This window comes from Homo sapiens, chromosome 21 (genome assembly GCF_000001405.40).
Source record: "Homo sapiens chromosome 21, GRCh38.p14 Primary Assembly".
In the NCBI taxonomy this organism is placed as follows: domain Eukaryota; kingdom Metazoa; phylum Chordata; class Mammalia; order Primates; family Hominidae; genus Homo; species Homo sapiens.
The window spans coordinates 41233752-41259963 of NC_000021.9; the positions used below are offsets into that span (position 1 = coordinate 41233752).

At 46.6% G+C, this 26212-nt stretch overlaps 1 protein-coding gene across 4 annotated transcripts in view, besides 2 other annotated features; it reads left to right on the forward strand.

Annotated features, from left to right (window-relative positions):
• Positions 1-26212, forward strand: part of BACE2 (beta-secretase 2) — a 114371-nt gene that overhangs the window by 65592 nt on the left and 22567 nt on the right. For 2 of the 4 annotated variants that reach the window (NM_012105.5, XM_017028314.2), the window contains 6 exons: positions 3762-3978; positions 8068-8196; positions 9625-9759; positions 12211-12312; positions 17001-17150; positions 23407-23575. In NM_012105.5, the coding sequence (NP_036237.2) occupies positions 3762-3978; positions 8068-8196; positions 9625-9759; positions 12211-12312; positions 17001-17150; positions 23407-23575 (902 nt within the window). The remainder of the gene's footprint in view (positions 1-3761; positions 3979-8067; positions 8197-9624; positions 9760-12210; positions 12313-17000; positions 17151-23406; positions 23576-26212) is intronic. The other 2 variants (NM_138992.3, NM_138991.3) reach the window with 2 other exon arrangements.
• Positions 6395-6539: a silencer, noted in NCBI's record as "fragment chr21:42612073-42612217 (GRCh37/hg19 assembly coordinates)". NCBI's record gives its function as "represses an EF-1alpha promoter that drives an FKBP-Casp9 reporter gene in an ReSE screen in HepG2 liver carcinoma cells {active_cell/tissue: HepG2}" and the evidence as "EXISTENCE:reporter gene assay evidence [ECO:0000049][PMID:32094911]".
• Positions 10574-11079: an enhancer, noted in NCBI's record as "NANOG hESC enhancer chr21:42616252-42616757 (GRCh37/hg19 assembly coordinates)". NCBI's record gives its function as "activates a minimal SCP1, AML or CMV promoter by ChIP-STARR-seq in primed H9 embryonic stem cells {active_cell/tissue: H9 hESC(primed)}" and the evidence as "EXISTENCE:reporter gene assay evidence [ECO:0000049][PMID:30033119]".

A 26212-nucleotide genomic window follows, 5' to 3' on the forward strand; every position in this document is an offset into this window, starting at 1 on the left:
GGAGTTTGAGACCAGCCTGACCAACATAGTGAAACCCCATCTCTACTAAAAATACAAAAATTAGCTGGGCATGGTGGCATGCGCCTGTAATCCCAGCTATTAGGGAGGCTGAGGCAGCAGAATCGCTTGAACCCAGGAGGCGGAGGTTGCAGTGAGCTGAGATGGCAGCATTGCACTCCAGCCTTGGTGACATAGCGAGACTCCATCTCAGCAACAACAAACGATTACTCTACCAGACCAGGTAGTATGGTTTGGCTGTGACCCCACTCAAATCTCATCTTGAATTGTAGCTCCCATAATTACCATGTATTGTGGGAGGGACCCAGTGGGAGATAATTGAATCAAGGGGGCGGTTTTTCCCCATACACTGTCTTCGTGGCAGTGAATAAGTTTTACGAGATCTGATGGTTTTATAAGGGGAAATCCCTTTCACTGGCTTTCATTTCTCTCTTCCCTTCCCCATGTAAGACATGCCTTTCACCTTCCACCATGATTGTGAGGCCTCCCCAGCCACGTAGAATTGTGAGCCCATTAAACTTCTTTCTCTTTATAAATTACCCAGTCTTAGGTATGCCTTTATCACAGTGTAAAAACAGACTAATACACCAGGAGTTGGCAAACTCTAGCCCATGAGCCAAATCTGACCTGCTGCCTGTTTTAGTAAATAAAGTTCTATCAGAACACAGCCATGCAGCTATGCAAGTTTACTTACACATTGTCTGTGGCTGCTTCCACATTACGTTTGAGAGCTGAGTAGTTATCACAGAGATCCCATGGCCTACAAACCTAAAACGTCTATTATTTGTTTCTTTATGGAAAGAAATTGCCAACCTCTGTTCTAGATCCTATTCTCCAAGCATTTCAAGATAATTAGTCTTTGTATATTTCTGAACTTGAGGAATGAACCCAAATTGTCAAAATGGACTGAATAATTCAGTATTTTTATTGCTATTCAACATAAGCGTGTTCATCTCCTCCCATGTGGCAGGCACATCTGAATTTATATTGGCACTAACACTTGGCATTCCGCCAATCTTCAAATACCCCATTTCAAAGACCTGACTGCATGTTACCTGGGTAATTTCTGGTGGATCCCTTAGTGCTCTAAGGACCCTCTGTGGTCACTTTTCTGTTTTTGTACCTGCCCATTGTCGGGAGATCTGCGCACAGAAAACATTCACTGAATGCCTCTCTTACTTTATGATCACGGTGGAGTGAACCAAGATAGTAGGCAAATATTAAAAGCCAACCATCTTTATATTCTGTACCCCATTATGAAGTTAGAATCAGCTGTTTCCCCCAAATCCGTTTGCCAGACCTTCGTAAAATAACATATTTCTCCTGATTATAAAAATAATGCATGCAAACATGGAGGGACCTAACCACAAGAATAGGAGTCCTCCCACCTCCAATCCTGCCACCCCAGCTGGCCACTGTTAATATTTGAGTGTAATAAATAGTTTTGAAGGAGAGTCTGTCTCATTGACGTATTTTTCTTTTAACTTTTTCTCTGCATCATTTAAAATTTCTTAGAAAAAGAAACATTTTTCCCTTGGCACATAATAGCGCATCATATGGATATGCTGTAATTTACTGAACTGTTTCCTTGTTACTGAGCATTTGGATGGTTTCCAGCTGTTTGCTGTTATACATAAAACATCACGACCATCCTGGCACATGAACCTCTGTCTGCTTCCTGGTGTCTCCTTAGGGTCAGATTCTCAGAAGTGCAGTTACTGAATTAAAGATAGTTAACATTTTTGATGCTTATGAGATATACCAAGAATGAGTTAATGAATAAAAGGCCAGATAGGGTGGCTCATGCCTGTAATCCCAGCATTTTGGGAGGCTAAGGTAGGAGGATTACTTGAGCCCAGGAGTTTGAGACTAGCTCGGGCAATATAATGAGACCCTGTCTCGGCAAAAAAAGAAAGAAAAATATTAGTTGGGCTTGATGGTGTGCACCTGTAGTCCCAGTTACTCAGTAGGCAGAGGTGGGAGGATCTCCTGAGCCCAGGAGTTCAAGCTACTGTGAGCCATGATTGCGCTATGGCACTCCAGCCTGGATGACAGAGCAAGACCTTTTCTTTAAAAGAAATAATAAATGAATGAATGAATGAATGAATGAACAAATGATCATGTCATCTCCAAACTTCTTTACTGACCTTAAGCAAGACTGCACTAGTTCATGTAATCCCACAACAAAGACTTATTAACACGTGTTAATGTTCACAGACTGATTATTAAAACAGAGTGAAATCAAGCCTGCAGGTGAGCAGGATCGCTTTAGTATGATCTACTGGGTGATTTGATATTTAGCTTAGAATTGTGATTATTTTCTTAGGAGGAGCATGGTTTGAGTTCATAGACATTTGCCTAGAGATGTTTCTTAGGTTCCTTCCTATATTCCAGCAGTTTTCAAACTCAAATGGGCATAGGAATGACCTTATAGGGTGGGACTCCCCAGGGCCATGACACCTGCTGTCCTCTCTCCACAGTGCTCTACCCCTAGAGAGCCCCAGGTCTCACTGTCTTCATTCAGGTCTCATGCAAACATGGTTGGATCCAAGAGTTCTCTCCAACCACTGGGTCACTTGAGGTCCCCTTGCCTGCTTTGTTCCCTGGGTGGCTCTCGTCCCGTAACCACCATTCCCGCATTCATTATCTCTCCTCACTGCAGCATAAACTGAGGGGGCAGGACTTTCGTCTGATCTTGTGAATGTCGTTCTGCGTCAGTAGCTCTTACCTCCAGGGCCACGTGAGTGTCAGGCTCTCGGTCATGTCACAGTGATTCATGTTCTGGCATGCCATTAGCGTCACTGCCCATATTTTGGTGAGAGTATAATCACCTTTGGGGCATTGGGGGAGAACCTTGAGAAGGACCTGTGACATGAAGGACCTGGGCTTCAGCAGGTAGGGCTTGGTCATTATTTGTCACATGAGTTGTATGTGTGAACCTGAACTCCAGCTGCTGCGGGCACAGGCTGGTGGAGCCTCCCTCTGGGATGCCGGCACCTACCCGTGTCACACAGCAGCAGCACAGCAGCCCTGCAAAGCCGGAGGGCCAGGCAGGTGCCAGATTGGGTTGTGTCCTTCAAAGGGTCGTGTCCTACGGTGGCCAAACAAAGCACCTGACTTATAGGGTTTAACTTGGGTATAGTGAAAAATTAAACTCCAGCCACATGTTTACACCAGTGCGTCCCTTCCACATGACATGGAAAACACTGTTACCAAAACATTAGCGATTATGTTTTTGGGGGAAGCTGTCACTTTGTTAACATTGATGCTGTTCATGATAAAGAATGGCTTACAGGCTTACAGTAGACTTTCTGTGTTTAGGATAGCTGCCTTGGACACGGCAACCTTATCTTCATGGTTCGGGAACATGGATACATAAGAGAATGCAAGGGGCTTAGCCGGGCGCAGTGGCTCACGCCTGTAATCCTAGCACTTTGGGAGGCCGAGGCAGGCAGATCACAAGGTCAAGAGATCGAGACCATCCTGGCCAACATGGTGAAACCCCGTCTCTACTAAAATTACAAAAATTAGCTGGGCGTGGTGATGTGTGCCTGTATTCCCAGCTACTCAGGAGGCTGAGGCAGGAGAATCGCTTGAACCCGGGAGGCGGAGGTTGCAGTGAGCCAAGATCCCGCCACTGCACTCCAGCCTGGGTGACAGAGCAAGACTCCGTCTCAAAAATAAATAAATAAAAATAAAATAAAATAAAATGAATACAATATGCTTTTCTTTTCTTTCTCCAGGTCTAGCACATACCGCTCCAAGGGCTTTGACGTCACAGTGAAGTACACACAAGGAAGCTGGACGGGCTTCGTTGGGGAAGACCTCGTCACCATCCCCAAAGGCTTCAATACTTCTTTTCTTGTCAACATTGCCACTATTTTTGAATCAGAGAATTTCTTTTTGCCTGGGATTAAATGGAATGGAATACTTGGCCTAGCTTATGCCACACTTGCCAAGGTAAGGCTAATCCATGGATTTAAGGAAATCAAATAACAGGATGAGATTCTGAAAATCAGTCATTAAAGGGCTGACACATGAGTCTTGGGCTGTTCTTGGAGACAGTGAGAACCACGTGGTGGAAACAGACCAGCATTCACACAATTATATTTCCAAGCATTTTTTAAATTGAAGGTAAACAGCATGATTCTTGGAACCTTCCTGTAAGACAGGCAATAGCATTAACTTTTTGTTTTATTTTCGTTTTATAGTTTAAAATGTTAACAGAATTTGAATCATGTAGATTGTGGTGTGTGTTTAGGAGTTTTTACTAAGGTGGGATTAAAAGAAAACACATTTATTAAATTCATACGTTTGCGTGAAGATGGAGCCTGCAGACGGCCCTGGAATGCAGGCAGGGGGTGGTGCCCTCCGCCAGGCTGGGACGTGGCCTGTTTTCCTGGCTCTGCAGGGGACACCTCCGAGGAGACACCCAGCATGGGAATATGGGCAGCCTGAAGGCATGCCCTGGGGAGAGCCAGCCCTTCCCAGTGGTGGTGAGCCCCAGAGGAATTGTGGAACCCTGCTCTTGCCATCACCAGAGCCTCCCCACATGGGGAAAGACAGAATTGGATGTTCACCAAATATTTGTACTTGGGGCCTACCCAAAGGAAATATGTCTGTATGCAGGAGGAGGGAGGCAGGCAGGGGAATTTCCACCTGGAGGCATTGCCAAAGGCAGGCGGGAGTAGACGCTAGGGGTGTGTGCAGGGCTCCTGGAGTCCACATGGGTTTGTATGTTTATTGCGGCATTATTCACAATAGCAAAGACTTGGAACCAACCCAAATGTCCAACAATGATAGACTGGATTAAGAAAATGTGGCACCTATACACCATGGAATACTATGCAGCCATAAAAAATGATGAGTTCATGTCCTTTGTAGGGACATGGATGAAATTGGAAATCATCATTCTCAGTAAACTATCACAAGAACAACAAACCAAACACCGCATATTCTCACTCATAGGTGGGAATTGAACAATGAGATCACATGGACACAGGAAGGGGAATATCACACTCTGGGGACTGTGGTGGGGTGGGGGGAGGGGGGAGGGATAGCCTTGGGAGATATACCTAATGCTAGATGACGAGTTAGTGGGCGCAGCGCACCAGCATGGCACATGTATACATATGTAACTAACCTGCACAATGTGCACATGTACCCTAAAACTTAAAGTATAATTAAAAAAAAAAAAAAAAAAAAAAAAAGAACTGCAGAAGGAGACCAGCTCTCCTGGCCCTGTACCTGGGTACCACGCCCTGGCCTCACCTTGCTCAGCGTTAGGCTTGGAACCAGAGCTATGTGTGGAAGGGAACAGAAGTGATTGCTGGAGCAATAGGCCCCCACTGTCCCATGAGGATAATCTTCCCATCGTGGAAGAACATTTGTTCCAGCTCAAGTTTATGAGCAGATGGGGGTGGGGTGGGGAGGGCAAGAGGAAGTTTACAGCCCTTGGCCCCTCCAAGGAGACAGAATCACAATTACTGAGAGCCTATTAGGCCCTAGGCTGAGAAGATACAAGATAAGATGTGGGTCACTCAGTGCTCAGGACTCCCCTGTGAGGCATACTTTGTAAGGTCATATTCTCCCCATTTTCTTTTTCTTTTTACTTTTTTATTTTTTTGAGAGAGAGTCTCACTCTATTTCCCAGGCTGGAGTGCAGCAGTGTAATCTCAGCTCACTGCAACCTCTAGCTCCCGGGTTCAAGTGATTCTCGCACCTCAGCCTCCCAAGTAGCTGGGACCACAGGCACATGCCACAACGCCTGGCTAAGTTTTGTAGTTTTGGTAGAGATGAGGTTTCACTATGTTGGCCAGGCTGGTCTCAAACTCCTGAGCTCAAGTGATCCATTCACATCAGCCTCTCAAAGTGTTGGGATTGTGGCATGAGCCACCGTGCCTGGCCTTATTCCCCCCATTTTCAAGATGTGGGGATTGAGGATCAGTGAGCTGTTGCCCCTTTGAAATCAGGCATGGAGCTTCTCACTGTCTGCAGAGCCAGGGCTGGCTCATGAACCTTTTGTCCTCTGTATCATAGATAATTGCAGACGCATGAAAACTTCCGTTCCTAAATACATTTTCAAAATGCTTTATCTGTATGTGACTGGAAATGAAAGATGTATATGACTGGTTTTATGCAAATTGTTCCGAAGATGATAGAGTAAACCTAAATTGCCTGGAATTAATAATATGTAAAGATTCTGTGAGAACAGACCCCTTCGGGGTTTGCTCAGACCTCCTGACTCTCCGTGCGACATTTTATCTTTTCATTTATGAAATTCCAAGATTACTGACAATTGGCTTCCCATTTCCAGGGTTTGAGGAGACAGCAGTAGGACTCATAGGAAGCAGAATGTGGCTGGGAACAGGGCCTGCAGGGTGAGCTGGGCAGACTGCCCACAGGGGTCTCTGAGACAGGTGGGCTGAGCGCTCTGCAGTGGTCAGGTTGTGTGGTGGCCCCTGGTCCATTCCAGGGGCTTCCTGTCAAGGCTGTGTCAGGAACACCTACTGGGCTTCTAACACTATAGCTGCCTGGGCCCCACTGCTGCTGAATCAGGTTCTCTCAGGGTTGGTTGTGGGCACCTGGATGCTTTTAATCCCTAGAGGGATCCCGAGGCACAGCCCTAGTGAAGGACTTGACAGAATGATTGCAGCTCCTTCGCTGTGTGCGTGTGCCAGGTACTGCTCCAAGTGCTTTACAGGTATTGGCCCATTTAAGCCCCAGAGCGGCTCCAGGCAGCTGCCCTTATCCCTGTTTCACAGGGAAGGAAGCAAAGGAACAAGTCACTCGGCTGGCAAGTGGCAGAGCCTGTCTCCCATCGTGTTTGCTTTGCTTTACCGCCTCTCAAGAAGGTGGGTAGAACACCAGCTGGGGGCACCCCCAGGCCCACCCTATAATCCCAAGAGGTGATTTTGTCTCACTGGTTGACCCAAACGCCCACAAGTGTTCTGACAGAGATTGCATATGGAAATCGTGCTAGATTCTGCCTCGGAATTCTGCAGAAGCTGAGATGAAACAAGTAGGAGGTCAAACACAAATGGACTACACCAATGGGAAGATCTGTATCTATTCCATGGTGGAGTTCCCCTCTCACTCCCTCTGGAATCACAGTTTTAGTTCTCACGGATAGTAAATAATCATTCCTGTGAATGACCATGGGCACCCAGGGGATGCCTATAGCGTCTGTGCTACTATAGTTAATTACATTTTCATCAAAAACTAACAACTCATGGTCACCAACTCCAGTGTCTCCCAGTTGTCAAAGCCAAAATCTAAACTCAGGTCTATCACTGACTTCCTACATGACCACCGGCACCCCTGGCACACCGGCACCTCACAGCTGTTTACGGACCTTCCCGCTTCCCTTTGAGTCTCTCTGGAGAAATGAGGGCATCCTCTGTATGTCTTGCTGGATGTGAGGGAGACACAGAGCACACGAGGGCTTCTGAAATCTGGCCTTGGGGGAATAAGAAGCCTTTTATGCTTCTGGAGTATAGATTTGTGCCTTTCCTGCTTCTTTCCTGCCAGAGTTCATCTGGCAGAGCTAAGCCTCACCCCAGGCTCTGGGGTCCGGGGGATACTGTCCTCCCAGGTCAGCCACCTCTCATTTGCATGGTGGACAGCTGCGGCTGACAGGCAAACAAAGATGTCTGCGGCCATGGCAGCTCCTAGAGAAACTCTTCTCTCCTTACTCTCAAATGCCTAAGATTAGGATCCACCACCTGCCACGGTAACCTACTTCCACGGCTTCTCACACCCCCTCACAAGGCAGTCATGATGATAGATGTGACTGCGTCGAATGGCTTCCAGAAATATGATCTTATTTGTACAACAGAGCCGTGCCCAAAGGAAGAATGCCAACCAGTGGGAAGCTCTGCTGGGGCTTTCTGAATTCCTAGACCCAATCACAAGCTGGTGTACTGTTGAACCATGAAAAAATTGAGTATAAACACCAGGAATGTCTGTGGCGCGTGGCGTCTACACTGGGTGACCCATGTCTACACTGTGAGTCCTAAGCGGGTGCCCCTCTCTGTCGCCCTCCCGCAGCCATCAAGTTCTCTGGAGACCTTCTTCGACTCCCTGGTGACACAAGCAAACATCCCCAACGTTTTCTCCATGCAGATGTGTGGAGCCGGCTTGCCCGTTGCTGGATCTGGGACCAACGGAGGTAGTCTTGTGGGTATCTTTTAGTCTTAAAGGGGCGAAAAATCACAGATGGATGGGCTGTTTTTTTCTGTTTTATTAAACACCTGAGCAGAAATATTAGGCATGTAGGTGTGCGTAGGTACTGTAAAACTTTCATCCTCCTTGTAGTAGATCTTTTTAGAAATGGCTAAAATTAGGCAATCCTTTATGTCATCCTGCCATCTGGAAGGATGATTCTCATCGCTTCTCCGAATTCCATTAAAACTTTTCTTTACCGCCCTTGGAAGGGCACTGCTTTCTGTGGGTGGGGGAGGGACAAGTGAGGAGCGGTGGGGGGCGTGGTGAGTGGACCTGACTGTGGGTAGGGGGCCAAAGGAGAGTTCATAAATTTGGCAGGGAAACAGGGGCCCTTGTAGATCCTTTCTCTCTCTCTCTCTCTCAACACACACAGGCACACACGCACCACAGCACAAGTGTTTGCTGCTGAAACAGAATCAAGGCCGTCAGCACTACGGAGGTGCTGGAGCCTGAGCTTCCCTCCAGGGGCCGGCACCCAGACGTCAAAAGTAGTAGGGGACAGGAAGAATGCACTAGAAGGGGGTGCTGCCAGTCCCTTTGCTGTCTGACTATGAGAGGCAGGATCTGCACCCCGGTCCTCAGCTACTTTCATTTGCTACCATTTCCAGGCAGAGGACAGCATAGGATTTATGAGGAAATGTTTTATGATTTTGCACAATGAAGCTTTGATCAGGGAAGTGCTTGATCTTCTGTTCTCTGACCTCCAAGGAACTAAATAATTGTCAGTCAGTGTGGTTAACTGTTTTATTGCATTTCTTTGAAGGAAAAATCTCAATATTGTAAAGCTAAACTTGTATGTACTTTCTTTGGATAAGAGAAACCTCCAAAGCATCTTGATTAGATGAGGGCCTAATACCATCTGACCTTTGCAGACGTGGACCCATAAAATTCCTTGTTTTATTTTATTTTATTTTATTTCATTTATTATTATTTTTTTTAGATGGAGTCTCGCTCTGTCGCCCAGGCTGGAGTGCAGTGACGCGATCTCAGCTCACTGCAGCCTCCGCCTCCCTGTTCAAGCGATTCTCCTGCCTCAGCCTCCTGAGAAGCTGGGACTACAGGTGCGCGCCACCTTGCCCGGCTAATTTTTGTATTTTTAGTAGAGATGGGGTTTCACCATGCTAGCCAGGCCGTTCTCGAACTCCTGACTTCATGATCCGCCCACCTCAGCCTCCCAAAGTGCTGGGATTACAAGCGTGAGCCACCGCGCCTGGCTCCTTGTTTATTTTTTAAGCATTGATATTTGTTTCATGACATTGTCACGAAGTAGAAGCCCTGATTGCAGTGAAGTTTCTCTTTACAAGTGCATGCTTCTCTGTGTAACCTGTTGATATGTCTGTGTATTTTTTCTCTTATACCTGTAAATATTTCCTGTCCCAGGTCTTGGGTGGAATTGAACCAAGTTTGTATAAAGGAGACATCTGGTATACCCCTATTAAGGAAGAGTGGTACTACCAGATAGAAATTCTGAAATTGGAAATTGGAGGCCAAAGCCTTAATCTGGACTGCAGAGAGGTATTTATGCTATGGTCTCTGTTGTGTCTTTCTGTGTATGTCTGGGTCCCTTAAATATGCCAGCTGGAACCCGTAGATGCCAATAGAAGGTACATTACCTCGTAAGATAAAGGCTCATTACATGAAAAGATGCAGGGCCTTGCTGTACAGTAAGTTGAAATCAATTAATTGTCCTCCCTCCCCACCCCAAATATTGCATCCTCCCAACCACTTATCTTCATAGGGCAAAATTACCATTAAATGGTGAGTGAAGAGGACTATCTGAGCTACACCTTTCACCATTCATTCATCTTGGATTGATGGTCCCTAAGCTCAGTTTAAGAGGTTGAAATAAACAGATTTTTAATCAGTGTAGGACAGAGAAGGACGAAAATTAAGCAAAATGAAACCGAAAAGATCATCAGCTTTTATCCTCCATTCACAGCTAGCCTGGCCCCCAGAGTACCCAATTCTCCCTAAAAAACGGTCATGCTGTATAGATGTGTGTGGCTTGGTAGTGCTAAAGTGGCCACATACAGAGCTCTGACACCAAACCTCAGGACCATGTTCATGCCTTCTCACTGAGTTCTGGCTTGTTCGTGACACATTATGACATTATGATTATGATGACTTGTGAGAGCCTCAGTCTTCTATAGCACTTTTAGAATGCTTTATAAAAACCATGGGGATGTCATTATATTCTAACCTGTTAGCACTTCTGTTCGTATTACCCATCACATCCCAACATCAATTCTCATATATGCAGGTACCTCTTGTCACGCGCGTCCATGTAAGGAGACCACAAAACAGGCTTTGTTTGAGCAACAAGGTTTTTATTTCACCTGGGTGCAGGTGGGCTGAGTCTGAAAAGAGAGTCAGTGAAGGGAGACAGGGGTGGGTCCACTTTATAAGATTTGGGTAGGTAGTGGAAAATTACAATCAAAGGGGGTTGTTCTCTGGCTGGCCAGGGTGGGGGTCACAAGGTGCTCAGTGGGAGAGCCTTTGAGCCAGGATGAGCCAGAAGGAATTTCACAAGGTAATGTCATCAGTTAAGGCAGGGACTGGCCATTTTCACTTCTTTTGTGGTGGAATGTCATCAGTTAAGGCAGGAACCGGCCATTTTCACTTCTTTTGTGATTCTTCACTTGCTTCAGGCCATCTGGACGTATAGGTGCAGGTCACAGTCACAGGGGATAAGATGGCAATGGCATAGCTTGGGCTCAGAGGCCTGACACCTCTGAGAAACTAAAGATTATAAAAATGATGGTCGCTTCTATTGCAAATCTGTGTTTATTGTCAAGAGGCACTTATTTGTCAATTAAGAACCCAGTGGTAGAATCGAATGTCCGAATGTAAAACAAAATACAAAACCTCTGTGTGTGTGTGTGTGTGAGTGTGTGTGTATGTGTGTGTGTGTGTATTAGAGAGGAAAAGCCTGTATTTGGAGGTGTGATTCTTAGATTCTAGGTTCTTTCCTGCCCACCCCATATGCACCCACCCCACAAAAGAACAAACAACAAATCCCAGGACATCTTAGCGCAACATTTCAGTTTGCATATTTTACATATTTACTTTTCTTACATATTAAAAAACTGAAAATTTTATGAACACGCTAAGTTAGATTTTAAATTAAGTTTGTTTTTACACTGAAAATAATTTAATATTTGTGAAGAATACTAATACATTGGTATATTTCATTTTCTTAAAATTCTGAACCCCTCTTCCCTTATTTCCTTTTGACCCGATTGGTGTATTGGTCATGTGACTCATGGATTTGCCTTAAGGCAGGAGGATCAGGTCACCCAGGACTCATTCCATCCCTGGGTAGACTTGCCTATGCAGCTGTGCCCGTAGTGGTTGGGGTGGCTCATCTGGTGTTGGCCACTGGTGTCCATTCTCCTCCCTCTGCCACATGAAGAACATTGCAGGTGAGGACAGGGCTGGCAGCGCCTGTGTGTGTCTCAGTCTATGATGCACTGTGGCCCTGGTTCTGTTCCCAGTGCAAATATGGGATGTCTGTTGAAAAATTGTCCATCCTTCTCTTCGTTAGTGAGGTCATAGAGAATTGATTTGTGTACAGTTTGTACAAATGGCTTTTAATATATTTCAGCCTCAAAAGACAAATAGGTCTTCCCTCTGCCCTGGGGCAGGAGTGCAGGTCCTCAATGAAGGAACTTGGGCACCTCTGAGTAAGGAAAGAGCTGTGCCTTGGGAGGGCTATTGATTTGCTAATTTGGGCCGTGTCCCCTCCCTTTCCTGGGTCCATTTCCTTGTCTCTGAAGTGAGCGTGTTGGGTTGGAAGACCCCTGGTTCCCCAGTTCTGAGAACATGAATGAACTACACAGTCCATGATGACTGGTGTGGCTGCCTGGATTTGTGTGTAACAGACAGATGGTGATGGCGGCTAGAGCCACGTGGGGCGGGGAGCGCCACTGTCACTCACGCACCTTTCCCTTTCTCTCCCGGTTCAAGTATAACGCAGACAAGGCCATCGTGGACAGTGGCACCACGCTGCTGCGCCTGCCCCAGAAGGTGTTTGATGCGGTGGTGGAAGCTGTGGCCCGCGCATCTCTGGTGAGTCCTCGGGACACTCACGGGTCCCCGAGTTGCTGAGTTACAGTCACCTGCTGAGGAGCAGCACTGCGTGTTCTGAGCATCTCTGAACTATTGCGCCATGTATTTCCAATTTTCATATTGTGTATTTGTATATTTTATATGTAATAGTATAGGTGTAATATGTAAATATATTTTATATGTATTTAAAATCTTTATATTTTGAAGGGTTTTGTTTCAACTATTACTTGTTAATTTCACAGTCCCTTTCTTTGATGTTAGCAAATAGTACCTTCATGAACCTCAGAGGACTTGGATCTGAATGTGCAATGCCCTCTAGTATTTCAAATAATAGTTCAGTTGGTATAGTATTTTTTTAATCTGCAAAAAACAATACTTGCTAATATAGCTATGTTAGAGTAAACAATAAATCGAGAATAAATTTATAGCCTTTGAAACAAAACAAACCAAAAATTTTACTCCTTTTTGGCTTTCATCCCTGCACTGGTATCTTAACTTCTGTTTGTATAAAAGAATACCATTTTTTCACAGAAGACAAAGAACAATCAGCCAATCTAATAATTATTTTATGGCCATGCTCTGAAATACAATTAAAATTATGATTGTGGACAATATGCCTTTTCGGGACCTGGCTGATGGTATTTCTGGTGTGACCCCAACTTTCCAGTCAGTTCAGGGCAATAAACATTGGATACAGGACAGCTTTGGGGATGAAATAGAATTAAATTTAGTGTAGTTTTTGCCACTTTTAGCTGGATGCCTGGCGAGGGGTTTTGTGCCCTCTGAGAGCCTCCGTCTTCTCAACTGAGGGGTGGTTGTGAGTTTTGGGTCAAATGCTTGGTGTTTAGTAGATGCTTGGAGCTTCCATGAAACATGCAACCACGGCGTTGCTGCTATTTGTTCAGATGCGAGAGGAACATGACTTTTGGCTGCCTGAGTGTTCTCATAGCATCTGGGCCTTCCTTGTGAGATCGTCAGAAAGTGTTTCCTGCACAAAGCCTGTACTGCGGCCCTGGCGTGGGGCTGATTGTCCCGCTACTCTGCTGTGATGGCTGAATTCAAAGAGTGGCCGATAGGAGCACGTATGGTGGGTGCCTTGTTAACAGCTCATAGCAGAAACGTGACAAGCGGGAGAGGGCTTTGGGTTGTCCTGAACTTCAAACACCTGTAACTGCTGCGGGAAGAGCGGCACGTGGATGAAACGGACACAGAGGGGGAATAGGCAGGAAAGGACGCGGGCTCTTTTCGAAGCAGCAGGTCTCAAGGCGGCCAGCCACTGGCGCAGCTGCAGCTGAAGCCACGGCAGAGTCTCCATCCTTCCCACTATCTGCTGAATCAGAGAAAGTGGCAGGCAACATTTTTAGTGCCTTAAATTTAGAACGCTTGCTCAAAATCAGACCCTACTTAAAATAAGGAGCGATACCCTCATTTCTTAAATAGTAAAAATGCCCTCAGCAGAATTAACGGGAGTATCTTCCAACTTCATATCCTGAATGGAAAAGTCTGTCCACCATCCCGAGGACGTGTTTGAAGCGCAGTGTGAAAATCCAGCACGTCGTGGACCGGCCAGACCCCTGTGCCGTGAGAGGCGGGGCGGCGGGGCCGTGGGGCGCTCGCACTCCCGAGCTCATCGTGGCATGCGCTGAGCCGAAAACCACGAGGTAGAGGGAATGAGATCACAACATTTGTTTGCGTTGTCTAAAATTATCCTCTGATTTCATTCGGTGCCTGCGTCAGGAGGGAGAAACATGGGAAGGTTGTTTGTCTTGGGCAGGGAAAGCATCACAAGGGCGCGTTGTGTGTCTGGCTTACCGTCTCTGGACCAAAGCTGTGTTTGTTTTTCTTATCTACCAGTTCCAGTAAGCCAAACCTCTTGGCGTGGGTTTCCTTCTGGTTAAGGGGAGGGCTGGCTTCAGAGAGTGAAAGACAATAAAAACGTGGAGCTCTGTCCCCTGGCATGGATTGTTCAGATGGGATTCTAGAAATTAAGGGTTTGGAGTTCTGTATTTAGAAATGAACCTGGAGCGGGGAGTGTTGTACAAGGTGCAGCCCATGCAGAGGCACCGAGACCTGGGCTCGTTCCGACCCTGCCGCAGTGCCCGCTTGGCTCAGGCCCAGCGCCTCTCTACGGAGGAAATCCAGACGCAAAATAATACCCGCTTGAAAATGGCTTCTAACTTTAACACTCTGTGATCTGAGGGTCGAAACTGGCTCCCAAGGACACGTGGCTTCACCCCCAGGGAGGCTGCCAGACTTTTGGTTAAGGACCATGGCTCTGGGGACAGTAAGTCCCACATCCGAATCTGAGGTGAGCTCCCCAGGCCAGTCACTTGGCCCCTTGGAACCTCCTTGTCCACCTGCCGTTGGAGCTGGTCATGGCACTATCATCTGAGCTCTGTACCCCGTGTCCCGCTGCAGACCTGGCCACCGAAACTCTTCCCCGAATCCAGCAAAATGACCATCCCACCTCTTCTGAGCATGTCTGAGAAGGGGCTCTCCCTGTGATGCACATCTTCAGTAGACTTCGCTTTTTCACAAAGCAAAGATGCATTAATGCCAGCATTAGAAATTTCACAAATCAATCACAAATGGTCTGAGTGGAGAACATGGGATGGATGAACCAACCACAGGGTGCTTTCTCCCCAGCTGCACGCCCTGGTGAGGAGGGCAGGTGTCTGCAGTGCGCGTGGTTACGTGGCACGTACCACCCCTGATATTCAGTGCGTGGACATCGGCAGATGCATACAGGGGCACCCGCATGTTTTTTCAGTTGTGGTCTTGGCAGCGTTCTGTCCCATTTTCCTGTCTTCTGTTCTAACTATCCTTTTGGTTTCTATAAGACTCTTCTCCCTCCTCCTTGGACTCTCCCTGTCCCTGTGCCCCTCCTCGTGGAGCCTCTTCTTCTGGCCTGAGCCACCTGTTCTTGCTGCACACCCTCCTACGTGATCCCATCCTTAGCCTCATCGATACCTCCTGCTCACCTGTCAGTGCCTCTGGAGTGTGTGTCTAGCCCAGGCCCATCCCCTGGAACTCAGGGGACTCAGGACTAGTGGGCATGTACACTTGGCCTCAGGGGACTCAGGATTAGTGAGCCCCACATGTACACTTGGCCTCAGTGGACTCAGGACTAGTGAGCCCCACATGTACACTTGGCCTCAGGGGACTCAGGATTAGTGAGCCCCCACATGTACACTTGGCCTCAGGGGACTCAGGATTAGTGAGCCCCACATGTACACTTGGCCTCAGGGGACTCAGGACTAGTGAGCCCCACATGTACACTTGGCCTCAGGGGACTCAGAACTAGTGAGCCCCACATGTACACTTGGCTTCAGGGGACTCAGGATTAGTGAGCCCCACATGTACACTTGGACACGTGAACCACATCGATGTGCTGCAGAGCTCAGCCCTCTGCAGATGAAATGTGGTCATGGCATTCCTTCACAGTGGCACCCCTCGTTCCCTCCCCACCTCATCTCCCATTCTTGTCTGTCTTCAGCACCTGCCATGTCCAGCCGGCAGATTCCACCGCAGCATCTTCTGCAGCACCCCCGACCACACACCTCCCCAGCGCCTGCTTGGCCCTCCAGCCCAGCTCCCGCCTTTCTTCCTTGGGGAAGCTCCCTGGACAGACACCCCCTCCTCCCAGCCATGGCTTTTTCCTGCTCTGCCCCACGCGGGACCCTGCCCTGGATGTGCTACAATAGACACATCAGATACAGTCCTTCCTCAGCAGCCGGCAGACCCAGGGTGGACTGCTCGGGGCCTGCCTGTGAGGTCACACAGGTGTCGTTAACTTGCCATCTCAGCAACTAGTGAATATGGGCAGATGCTACCTTCCTTCCGGTTCCCTGGTGAGAGGTACTGGTGGATGTCCTGTGTTGCCGGCCACCTTTTGTCCCTGGATGCCATTTATTTTTTTCCACAAATATTTCCCAGGTCTCTTCTGTGTGCAAGGTATTAGGGCTGCAGCGGGGGCCAGGCCACAGATCTCTGTCCTGAGAAGACTTGGATTCTAGTGCAGGAGACTGAAGTGTATCACACCAATCAGTGTAAATTGTTAACTGCCACAAGGAGAAAGGCCAGGAAGGAGTGGGGCATGGTGGTGTTCTAGTGTTACAAGAAGAAGCCAGGGAGGGCTTCCTGGATGAAGTGGCATCTGACCTGGGATCTGGAGGAGGAGAAAAATGTCCCAAAAGAGCAGAGAGCCCACCCTAGGCTCTGCACCAGGAGGCAACTTGCTGGGCTTATGGAATTCAGAGGGCAAGTGATAAGCAGAAAGTCCTTGGGGGCCACAATTAGGATTTCTGTCTTCTAAAGGGCCTCTGCCCTCTGCTGTGTGACCTTGGGCAAGTTACTTCACCTCTAGTGCTTTGGTTGCCTCATCTGTAAAGTGGTGAGGATAATGCTATCACACTGGTTGAGAATTGAAGTAATTATTGCTGCAAAGGGCTTATAAGGGTGTCTAATACTAGTACTAGTAGGTACTTCATGTGTCTTGACAATTTTAATCATTATTATTTTGTCATCACCGTCACTCTTCCAGGGGACTAATGTCCCTGCTGTTCTGTCCAAATTAAACATTGTTTATCCCTGTGGGCATCTGGCGAGGTGGCTAGGAAAGCCTGGAGCTGTTTCCTGTTGACGTGCCAGACTAGTCATGGTTTCTGATGTGATCTTGTTTTGTCTAGATTCCAGAATTCTCTGATGGTTTCTGGACTGGGTCCCAGCTGGCGTGCTGGACGAATTCGGAAACACCTTGGTCTTACTTCCCTAAAATCTCCATCTACCTGAGAGACGAGAACTCCAGCAGGTCATTCCGTATCACAATCCTGCCTCAGGTATGAACTTGGATTTGTGCTTTGCTCTTTTTATCATGCAAAAGAGAAAGCACTCCATGCATGACACGTGTATTAGATGTCACACCTGCATTAGATCTCTATCACCACAATAATGCTGCAAAAGACAGCCACACATATTACTGCTCCTGAGTCCAGGCAGGGCGGTGTCCCTTGGCCGGGCTCACTCACGTGTCTCTACTCAGCTGGTGGTTGGCTGGGTCCCGGTTGGCCTCCACCCAGGCTGGTGTAGGATGGTCTCACTCACATATCTGGTGGCGAGGTGGATGGAGGAACAGAGCCATGCGTTTCTCTCCATTCAGTGTCTGAGTCACATGTGGTAACAGGGACCTGGGAGAGAGAAAAGAACCACACAGGGGCTCCTGAAGTGTCAGCCCAGAACTAGCCACTATCTCTTCCATGATGCTGCCCAAACAAGCCCAAGGCTAGCCCAGATTCCGAGGATGAGGGAAAAGATGCCCCTCGCACTGGGAGGAGCCATGGAGCCGCATTGCCAAGGGTGTGGCTACAAGGAAAAGGGAAGACCTGGAGACATTTTTGTCACACCTACCACATCACCCTTATACATTTTTCCTGTTTACGTATAAAGAATAAAAGTGGGCTGGGTGCGGTGGCTCACGCCTGTAATCCCAGCACTTTGGGAGGCCAAGGCAGGCAAATCACCTGAGGTCAGGAGTTTGAGACCAGCCTGGCCAACATGGCAAAACCCCGTCTCTGCTAAAAATACAAAAATTAGCCGGGCGTGATGGTGCATGCCTGTAATCCCAGCTACCCCGGAGGCTGAGGCAGGAGAATTGCTTGAACCTGGGAGGCGGAGGTTGCAGTGAGCCGAGATCACACCACTGCACTGCAGCCTGGCGACAGAGTGAGACTCTGTCTCAGAAAAAAAACAAAAAACAAAAAAGAAAAGAAAAAGAAAGAAAAAGAAAAACTAGATTGCCCAAGGTGAAGACATCATTTTTTTCCTATACTCCCAGTACCCACTGACTCCCTCTTTATCCTACACGTCTAATGAAATGGACCACGTCTGTCTTCCTCAGTCCCATTTCTCACCTCTTCCTCCTCCCCTCCGTTACTGAGCCCTTGCGCGTGTGGCTCTCACCAGCACTTCTGTAACCTGCAGAGTGCTGCTGTGCTCCTGAGCCCCCACCCTCTCTTCTTTTTGAAACTGTTGTCAGATCAGTCTTCCTAAACCACCACTTTCACCCGAGCCTCCCCTGCTATGAGTAAGCAGTGCGTCCCCATGATTTAAATGCTCAGGGCTCGCTCCTGGCATCGCTGTCCATGGCCTCCCACCAGACCCCTCCTAGTTCCTCAGTGTTTTCACTGAACCCCAACCCTCTGCTGGGTGGCCACTGACCCTCAAGGCCTCTTGCCTGCAACTGTCTCCTAACCTTTGTTCCACCAACCCCCCTGCCTGAAATGCCCTCCCTTCCTTACTCCGCCCATATATCCAGATTCTTCCCATCCTTTAAGACTCAACTCAAACAACCCAGCTTTTGTTGAAACCATGCCGAGCAGAATAACCCATTTGTGAGGTTGCACCTCCCACTCAGCACGCATATTTTCTGGTCTGCTCATCTGGCATGGAATCTTATCTTTAGGGTACGTTTTATGCTGTTGCCTTTTTCATTTGACTTCTGTTTTCTTAACTTCTATTTCGTTTTCAATTAATTATAAATTCCTTGAAGGTGAGAGCTGTGGGGGTAAAAGATTGTCCTTCCTTCCCCAACGCCACCAGGCCGTGGAGGGAAAGTACATCAGAACTGTTTGTGGAATGGACACATCAATATGTCTTTGTTGCAATTGATGAATTTGAGATAAAGGGAATTGGACTGCAGGGACAAGGAAGGAGGCGTAATTTCAGGAGAAAAAAAGTAAATGGTACTACTGCCTTTTCCCATTTTCATCTTTACGTTGTGGGGATGTGCTTTCCAGAAAAGGAGAGATCTTGGGGAAAGGATTGAAAGCTCCAGGAGAAATTCAGGCCGACAGGAGATACCACGCTCTCAGGAGAGGCTTGAGTAACACGCTCAGCACTGCCCTTCCCTCACACCGTAACTTTGAGCAAAGCATTTAGCCCTGCCTGTGTCTCTTTAACTATAAAGGAGAAACAATAATACCTACCAAAGACATTTTCAGAAGAATGCAGTATCCTTGGATGAATGGCACTGCACTGAATGATATTACAATGCTATGTTTTCAGCATCTTTAAATCATCTTTAAAATCATGTGCTCTTGGCCGGGCGCAGTGGCTCATGCCTGTAATCCCAGCACTTTGGGAGGCTGAGGAGGGTGAATCACGAGGTCAGGAGTTCGAGACCAGCCTGGACAACACAGTGAAACCCAGTCTCTACTAAAAATATAAAAATATTAGCTGGGCTTGGTGGCGGGCACCTGTAATCCCAGCTACCTGGGAGGCTAAGGCAGGAGAGTCGCTTGAACCTGGGAGGCAGAGGTTGCAGTGAGCTGAGATCGTGGCACTGCACTCCAGCCTGGACGACAGTGTGAGACTCCATCTCAAAAAAAAAAAAAAAAAATCACGTGCTCTTGATGATTACATTTTGGCTAGTAGAGCGGCAAAATGTGGACATTATTTCATCAGTGTGGTGTGTAATAATGTCAAAACCCAGCTTGAGGACCCAGGTGTGCACTGCTGAATAAATGTCAGGCACCAAGGACTCGTAAGAAGCAGGAGGAGAAGGCAGGCATTAGGGGGAAACCTCAGTCCAGGTGGGTCACAGCCGGGAAGGCTTGCTTGGCTTCCTCAATAGCTTTTAGGACCCAGCACTGGGCAAGCTCAGGAGCAGAATGAGAGGGGTTTGGGAGCATTTCATCTCATTTGCACATCTCTGCATAAGAATTCATTATTGCTTTCACTTATAATGGTAGATATTTTTTGGTTGTCTTTGACATGTTCAGATTTTTTATTTTTAAAAATCCACTTTGCCTGCTGTTTTCCTGATTTCTTACTCAGCATCACATTCCACTTGCTTTCCATTCCCTTTCTGGGAGGGGACTCCAGTAGGAAGCTGGGAAAGATCACCTGGTGAGACCCCACACGCTCCATGTTTCCCAGCAGAAAGGCTCTGCCCAGCAGCCTTTCTAACACCAGGGGAAACCGCCAGGGTTCTTGTCCTCAGAGTTTTAGGATGGGGCCCTACCTGGGACCTCTCAAACATGAGCCCTAATAAGTGGGCAAACGATTGCTCCTGCAGAAAAGAGTCAATTCGAAAGCAATTACTTTAAACTTTGTCTATACCCAACACTATTTTCCAAAAGCCCATGGGCTGAATCCTATGTGGCCTGTTAAAAAACAGCAGCTGGCAGCCCACAGGGGAGCTCTAAGGTTTCTTCACAGCTTCTACTTTATCCCTACTTGACCTGCTCTTCAGTGTGGTCACATGGCAGCCCCTCCCTGCTGGTCTCCTCTCAGTCTTTTCTGCTCCCTCCAAAATCACCCCTCACAGTCCCTCAAACCCCCTACAGCCAGAAGGCCCAGGACTCTGTGTATTCGTGTGTCTGCCTGTTTCATCCAAGTCTTTCTTCCTGTCTCTGCCCTTTAAGGCTAATCATTACTCACAGGAAGGTTCGTTTTCTTACTCATTTTGCACTCTTGCTTTTCTCCAAACAGGGGCATTTTGTCATACTCAGCTGCTGTACTCTCTAATTGCCTGCATTTGAATTATTTGCTATCCAAAAGCCAAGAAATTGTTACTGCTGGTAGGATATTGATTTGCTCACTGATTGTGTTCAGGTTTGACCCATTTCCCCACATACTCTTGGCTCCAGGGATATCAATGGCCGACTCATCTTCATTTAACACTGCACAGCACCTGTGGGAACTGGCCCTCCTGAATAGCAGAACTGCTGACCCACAGATGCTGTCTTCTCTCTGATGTTGATTACTTCTTCCTCTTTTCACTGAGGAAATTGTCCTGCCTCCGTCAGGCTGCCTACTTTTAAAACTCTGTCTGCCCGAGGGGCGCATGATGAGCTCTGGGCCAGCTAGGAGCCATTGCAGTGGATCCCAAGAGACGAGGACAGTGAGGACTTGGCCTGAGTTGGGCGAGGGAGTGATTTGATTCCGCTTCGGTTTCACAGGAAGGCTCACAAGGGTCTGGTTACAGTCTCCATGCAGGCTAAGAGAGAAAAGGACTGGCCCAGCACTATAGGGCCTGAGTAACTGGGTGAATCATGAATTTACTGAGACAGAGAACTGTGGGAGAGGTCTGATTTGGGGGGAACAGCCAGCATTCAGGTTTTACAGGTTACACGGGAAATGCCGATTGAGAGGTGGGCAGGCAGGCGGACACAAGCATGTGGCAATGGTGGCCCAGGTCTGGGCTGGAGAGGAGGAGTTGGGAGTCTCAGGCTAGATCACGGGGTGACCTAGGGCCATGGGGTGGGGCCAGATGGGTCACCCAAGGAGGGAAGATTGAGAGGAGGCCAGAGCCTGAGAGTGCTCCGATGCTTGCAGGGGAGGAAGATGAAGGAAATCCAATACAGTGCCTGAGAAGGAGCAGCCAGGGAGTTAGGGAGAAGAATGCAGCCCTCTTAGAGTCCAAGTGAAGAAAGCGTCCACACGGACGAAGTGATTAGTGGTCAGCAGTACCCATAGAGGGTGTCTGTGGGGGCACTTCCCGCCCTATGGTTACTGCCTGGTTCCCCCTAGATTGGAAGCCTCGAGGGAGCAGGGACTGTGTGTCATTCACCGTTGTAGTGCTGGTGCAGAGAGCAGCACCTGAGCCATGTGAAGTCCTCAGCAGATAACTGCTGGGCAGATAGCCAGATGGACATGAGGACTAAACTCTGACTTTTTTTTTAATTCTCTTGCCCAAAATTCCTACCTAAGGGGCCTGGGGAGTCCGCTCTACACACCATAAAGTTTCACCAGAAGGGTTTTATTTAACCTTGTATAACATGGCCTGCTTTCCAGCCTAGCTCTGGCATAACATCACATAACAAATAAGGAAAGAAATCAAAATATTTTAACCCCAAATATATTTCCTTTTCATATTTTGAAATTGCCCTGCAGAGTTGTCTCTTGTGAGAAAAATCTACATTGTATAGAGAATCCCCTTTTCCCTTTTTTTATTCTTTCCAGATCTAGAAGATAATCGACTAAGAGTCAGGCAACCTTTTTTTTTTGTTTGTTTGTTTTGTTTTTTTTTGTTTAATACATATATACTTTAAGTTCTGGGGTACATGTGCAGAATGTGCAGGTTTGTTACATAGTTATACAGGTGGCATGGTGATTTGTTGCGCCCATCAACCCGTCACCTGCATTAGGTATTTCTCCTAATGTTATCCCTCCCCTAGCCCTCTACCCCCTGACAGGTCCTGGTGTGTGATGTTCCTCTCCGTATGTCCATGTGTTCTTATTGTTCAACTCCCACTTATGAGTGAGAACATGTGGTGTTTGGTTTTCTGTTCTTGTGATAGTTTGCTGAGAATGATGGTTTTCAGCTTTATCCATGTCCCTGCAAAGGACATAAACTCATCCTTTTTTATGGCTGCATAGTATTCCATGGTATATATGAAGGCACCCTTTTAAATTCTGTAAGACACATTTCACAACCTCTTTTCTTCACAGCCTGCTAACTAAAAGCTTCCTCTGCACAATAAAACTTTGGTCTCTTAATCCAAACATTTCCTTTCCATTGATCCCAGGTTAGATAAACTTAACCAATTATCAACCAGAAAATTTTTAATTTACCTCTAGCCTGGAAGCCCCACTTTGACTTGTCCTGCCTTTCTGAACCAAACCAATGGACATCTTAAAAGTATTTGATTGATGTCTCATGTCTCTCAAAATTGTATAAAACCAGGCTGTGCCCTAACCACCTTGGGCACATGTTCTCCGGACCTCCTGAGGCTGTCTCATGGGCCATGGTCACTCATACTTGGCTCAGAATAAATCTCTTCAAAATATTTTACAGAGTTTGACTCTTTTCATCAGCAAACAGTTGGACAGACGTCTTCTGGGTGTGTGCACCTGTGTGTAACTCCAGGTGGTGCATGTGGGTCACCTGTGCTGTCACTGATCAATAATATTGATCACCATGCTTTTGATCTTCTCTCCTCCTGGATGGCAGGGTGAGATCATCTTTCTTCTCCCGTGACTCCCCCCAGCGCCTGGGAGGGTCCTGAGCATGCGTGTGACCTCAGCAATTTTGTGATACTGCCTGATTTGTGCTTTTTCTTGTTTGTTTGCTCTCTCCTCTCCGACAAACAGCTTTACATTCAGCCCATGATGGGGGCCGGCCTGAATTATGAATGTTACCGATTCGGCATTTCCCCATCCACAAATGCGCTGGTGATCGGTGCCACGGTGATGGAGGGCTTCTACGTCATCTTCGACAGAGCCCAGAAGAGGGTGGGCTTCGCAGCGAGCCCCTGTGCAGGTGAGCGATTCTGGCATCGAACAGGGATCCCCGACAAGAGTCCTTTATGTAAATGTGCTGACTTGGAAGCAATTCTTGATGGCAACTCAATTACCATTGAATTGTTTCACTCATTCCTATCACCAGTGATCAAAATCTTCTCAATAAAATGGGTCATGGGGTTGCTGAGAGAATTAAATGACATCATCCATGTGAAACTTCAGTGCTTGGCACATGGGAAATGCTTACTGAGTGTGAGTCCTGATAGTCACTAGGAGTAAAAATATGCCGTGAAACCTTGGAGTTGAATTGCAATTTTTCGACAGTTTAAGCAAAATGAGTAAGGAAGAAATTTCACACATAAGCCGTGTACATTTATTTGTCCATAAAGCTGTCCTCATTTTGAAATAGGAAATGAACACCTATCGTTGCGATTTCTTGAAATCCTAATATAATGAGACCAAGGAGCCCCTGTTTCTCGTGGGATTCCTTTGAAAGATGTGTGAGGGCAGCCCGCAGCATGACTCTGCAGTCTAGCTGGAGGGTTGGCAGGTCTTCAGAGAAACCAGGATAGCATGAGAAAGTCAAGAGGATAGATAAACCCCATAAGCTTGAAAATGTCTTCAGACTTCACGGTTTGCTTGAAACGGAGTGCTCACACCACACACGGCTTAATGGGAGGATTAGGTATTTCTGACTGAGAGTCCAAGCCTGCAAGGCAGAGGCAAATCACAGAAGTGGGCATGAGATTGAATTGCCGGAGACAAGTGGAGGAAGAGCCTGAATCAGAAAAGTGGTCAGGAGAACGGCAGCCTTTCAAAACAAGATGTCAAGAGACTGAAAAAAAAATGGTACATTGGGTTTGAAGTCAGGAGCAGAATGGAATTCCAAAGTTGTGCTGGTGATATGTGAAAGGAGAGAAAAATTAAGTGTGAGGTCAAAAAAGAATCGATGACAATGAGGTAGAATAGAACAAAATTTGGGAATCGATAGGGAAATACAAGATCACCATGTGGTTGAAGGAAAGGGGGTTTTGTAGGAATTTGATGGATATGAGACGCTGTTGGAGGACAGGTGAGATTGCTGGGCCATCCTGGAAGCCTCAACTCAGACCTTCACTCTGATCTCAACCCAGGTGAAGAGCTGCCAGGATGAGGTACACAGGCAAAATGCCAAGTGATCACAGCTGAATTATTCCAGGAGGGAGAGATTTCAGTTACTATTTTTTAATACCTAAAACATGGTCTTAAAACAGGACTCCTGGTAAATAAAGCAGATAAAGGATGCTTCATTAGCTGACTTTAGCAGAGTGGCCTTTCAGAAAAGTAAAGTAACAATTTAGAGAACAGAAATATTAAAAGGAAAGATTGCAGTGGACTATTAGGCCAATTCATATTCTGTATAAATAAAATCATCCAACCCAGTGTATGTATATGACACATCATGACATGTCTTCATAAATATCTGTGCCGACGTATTTCGCTTTGCATTTGTGAGCAGACTTGGAACCCTTCCCATTGTCATGTTTTTTATCTTTGCTATGTGTAAATGTTTACCTTATGTATGTGCAATAACTCTTTTAGCCTGTTCAGTTATCATTGAGTGAGACCTTTCTCTGTGGCAGCAGGTGGGACTGAAATATCACTGAATTTCCTAACTGTGACTGTTTTACTTCTTTTTAACCAAGAGAATCTAAGAACTTAGGCAATTTTGTCCACAATTTCTGTTCTCTCATTAAATATCATTAAAGTAGAGGCTACTATGGCAACAGCTGTTAGAGGGTCCACTTAATACTGCAGAATCTAATAACCATTTGTTTTCTCAGTGAATTACTGTTGGAAATGGTGTAATATTAGGCGTCTCTAGGCAGGGCAACTTTTTTTTCCCTGAATTTCACTGTGAGTTATTTGCTAGATGCTCTTATATACAGCTTTTGTTCCTTTTTTAAAAATGTACTTGAGCTTTTGGTATTTAAATGTTAGATTTTACCAGCCATGGGAAAATACACTGATATATGTCCCCTCTTCCATGTGGATTGTTTCGCCATTAAAGTAATTACTTTCCTCAGGGCTGCAATTAACGGCCCAGACAGTGCTCGATAGAACCCTAATAAATGGAATAGCTATGCTGCCTTTCTTTTTTTTTTTTAAGTATTTATTTTTCATTATAAAATGTTTAAGTAACAAAAAAACCTTAAGTTACAGAAAATCATATACTATGTGTGCATTTATGGACTATCTAGATTTAATATTTTGTCATATTTTCTTTAAAAATTTGTCTTAGAAATAAAAAACCAAGTATAGCTAAAGTTTCACCCCACCCCCTCCCCCAGCACTACTCATTATCCTGAGATTAGTGTATATTCTTATCTGAATTACTATACATTTATAATTTTACTAGATGGGCATGTGCACCTTCTATTAATTATCTATTGCTATGTAACAACTTACCCCCAAATGTCACAACTCTCTATCACCTTCTGCAGTTTCTTTCTTTCTTTTGTTTTCTTTTTTTTCTTTTTTTATTTTATTTTTTATTTTTAGACAGGGTCTTGCTCTGTCACTCAGGCTAGAGTAGAGTGCAGTGGCATGATCAGGGCTCACTTTAGCCCAACCTCCCTGGTTCAGGTGATCCTCTGACCTCAACCTCCTGAGTAGC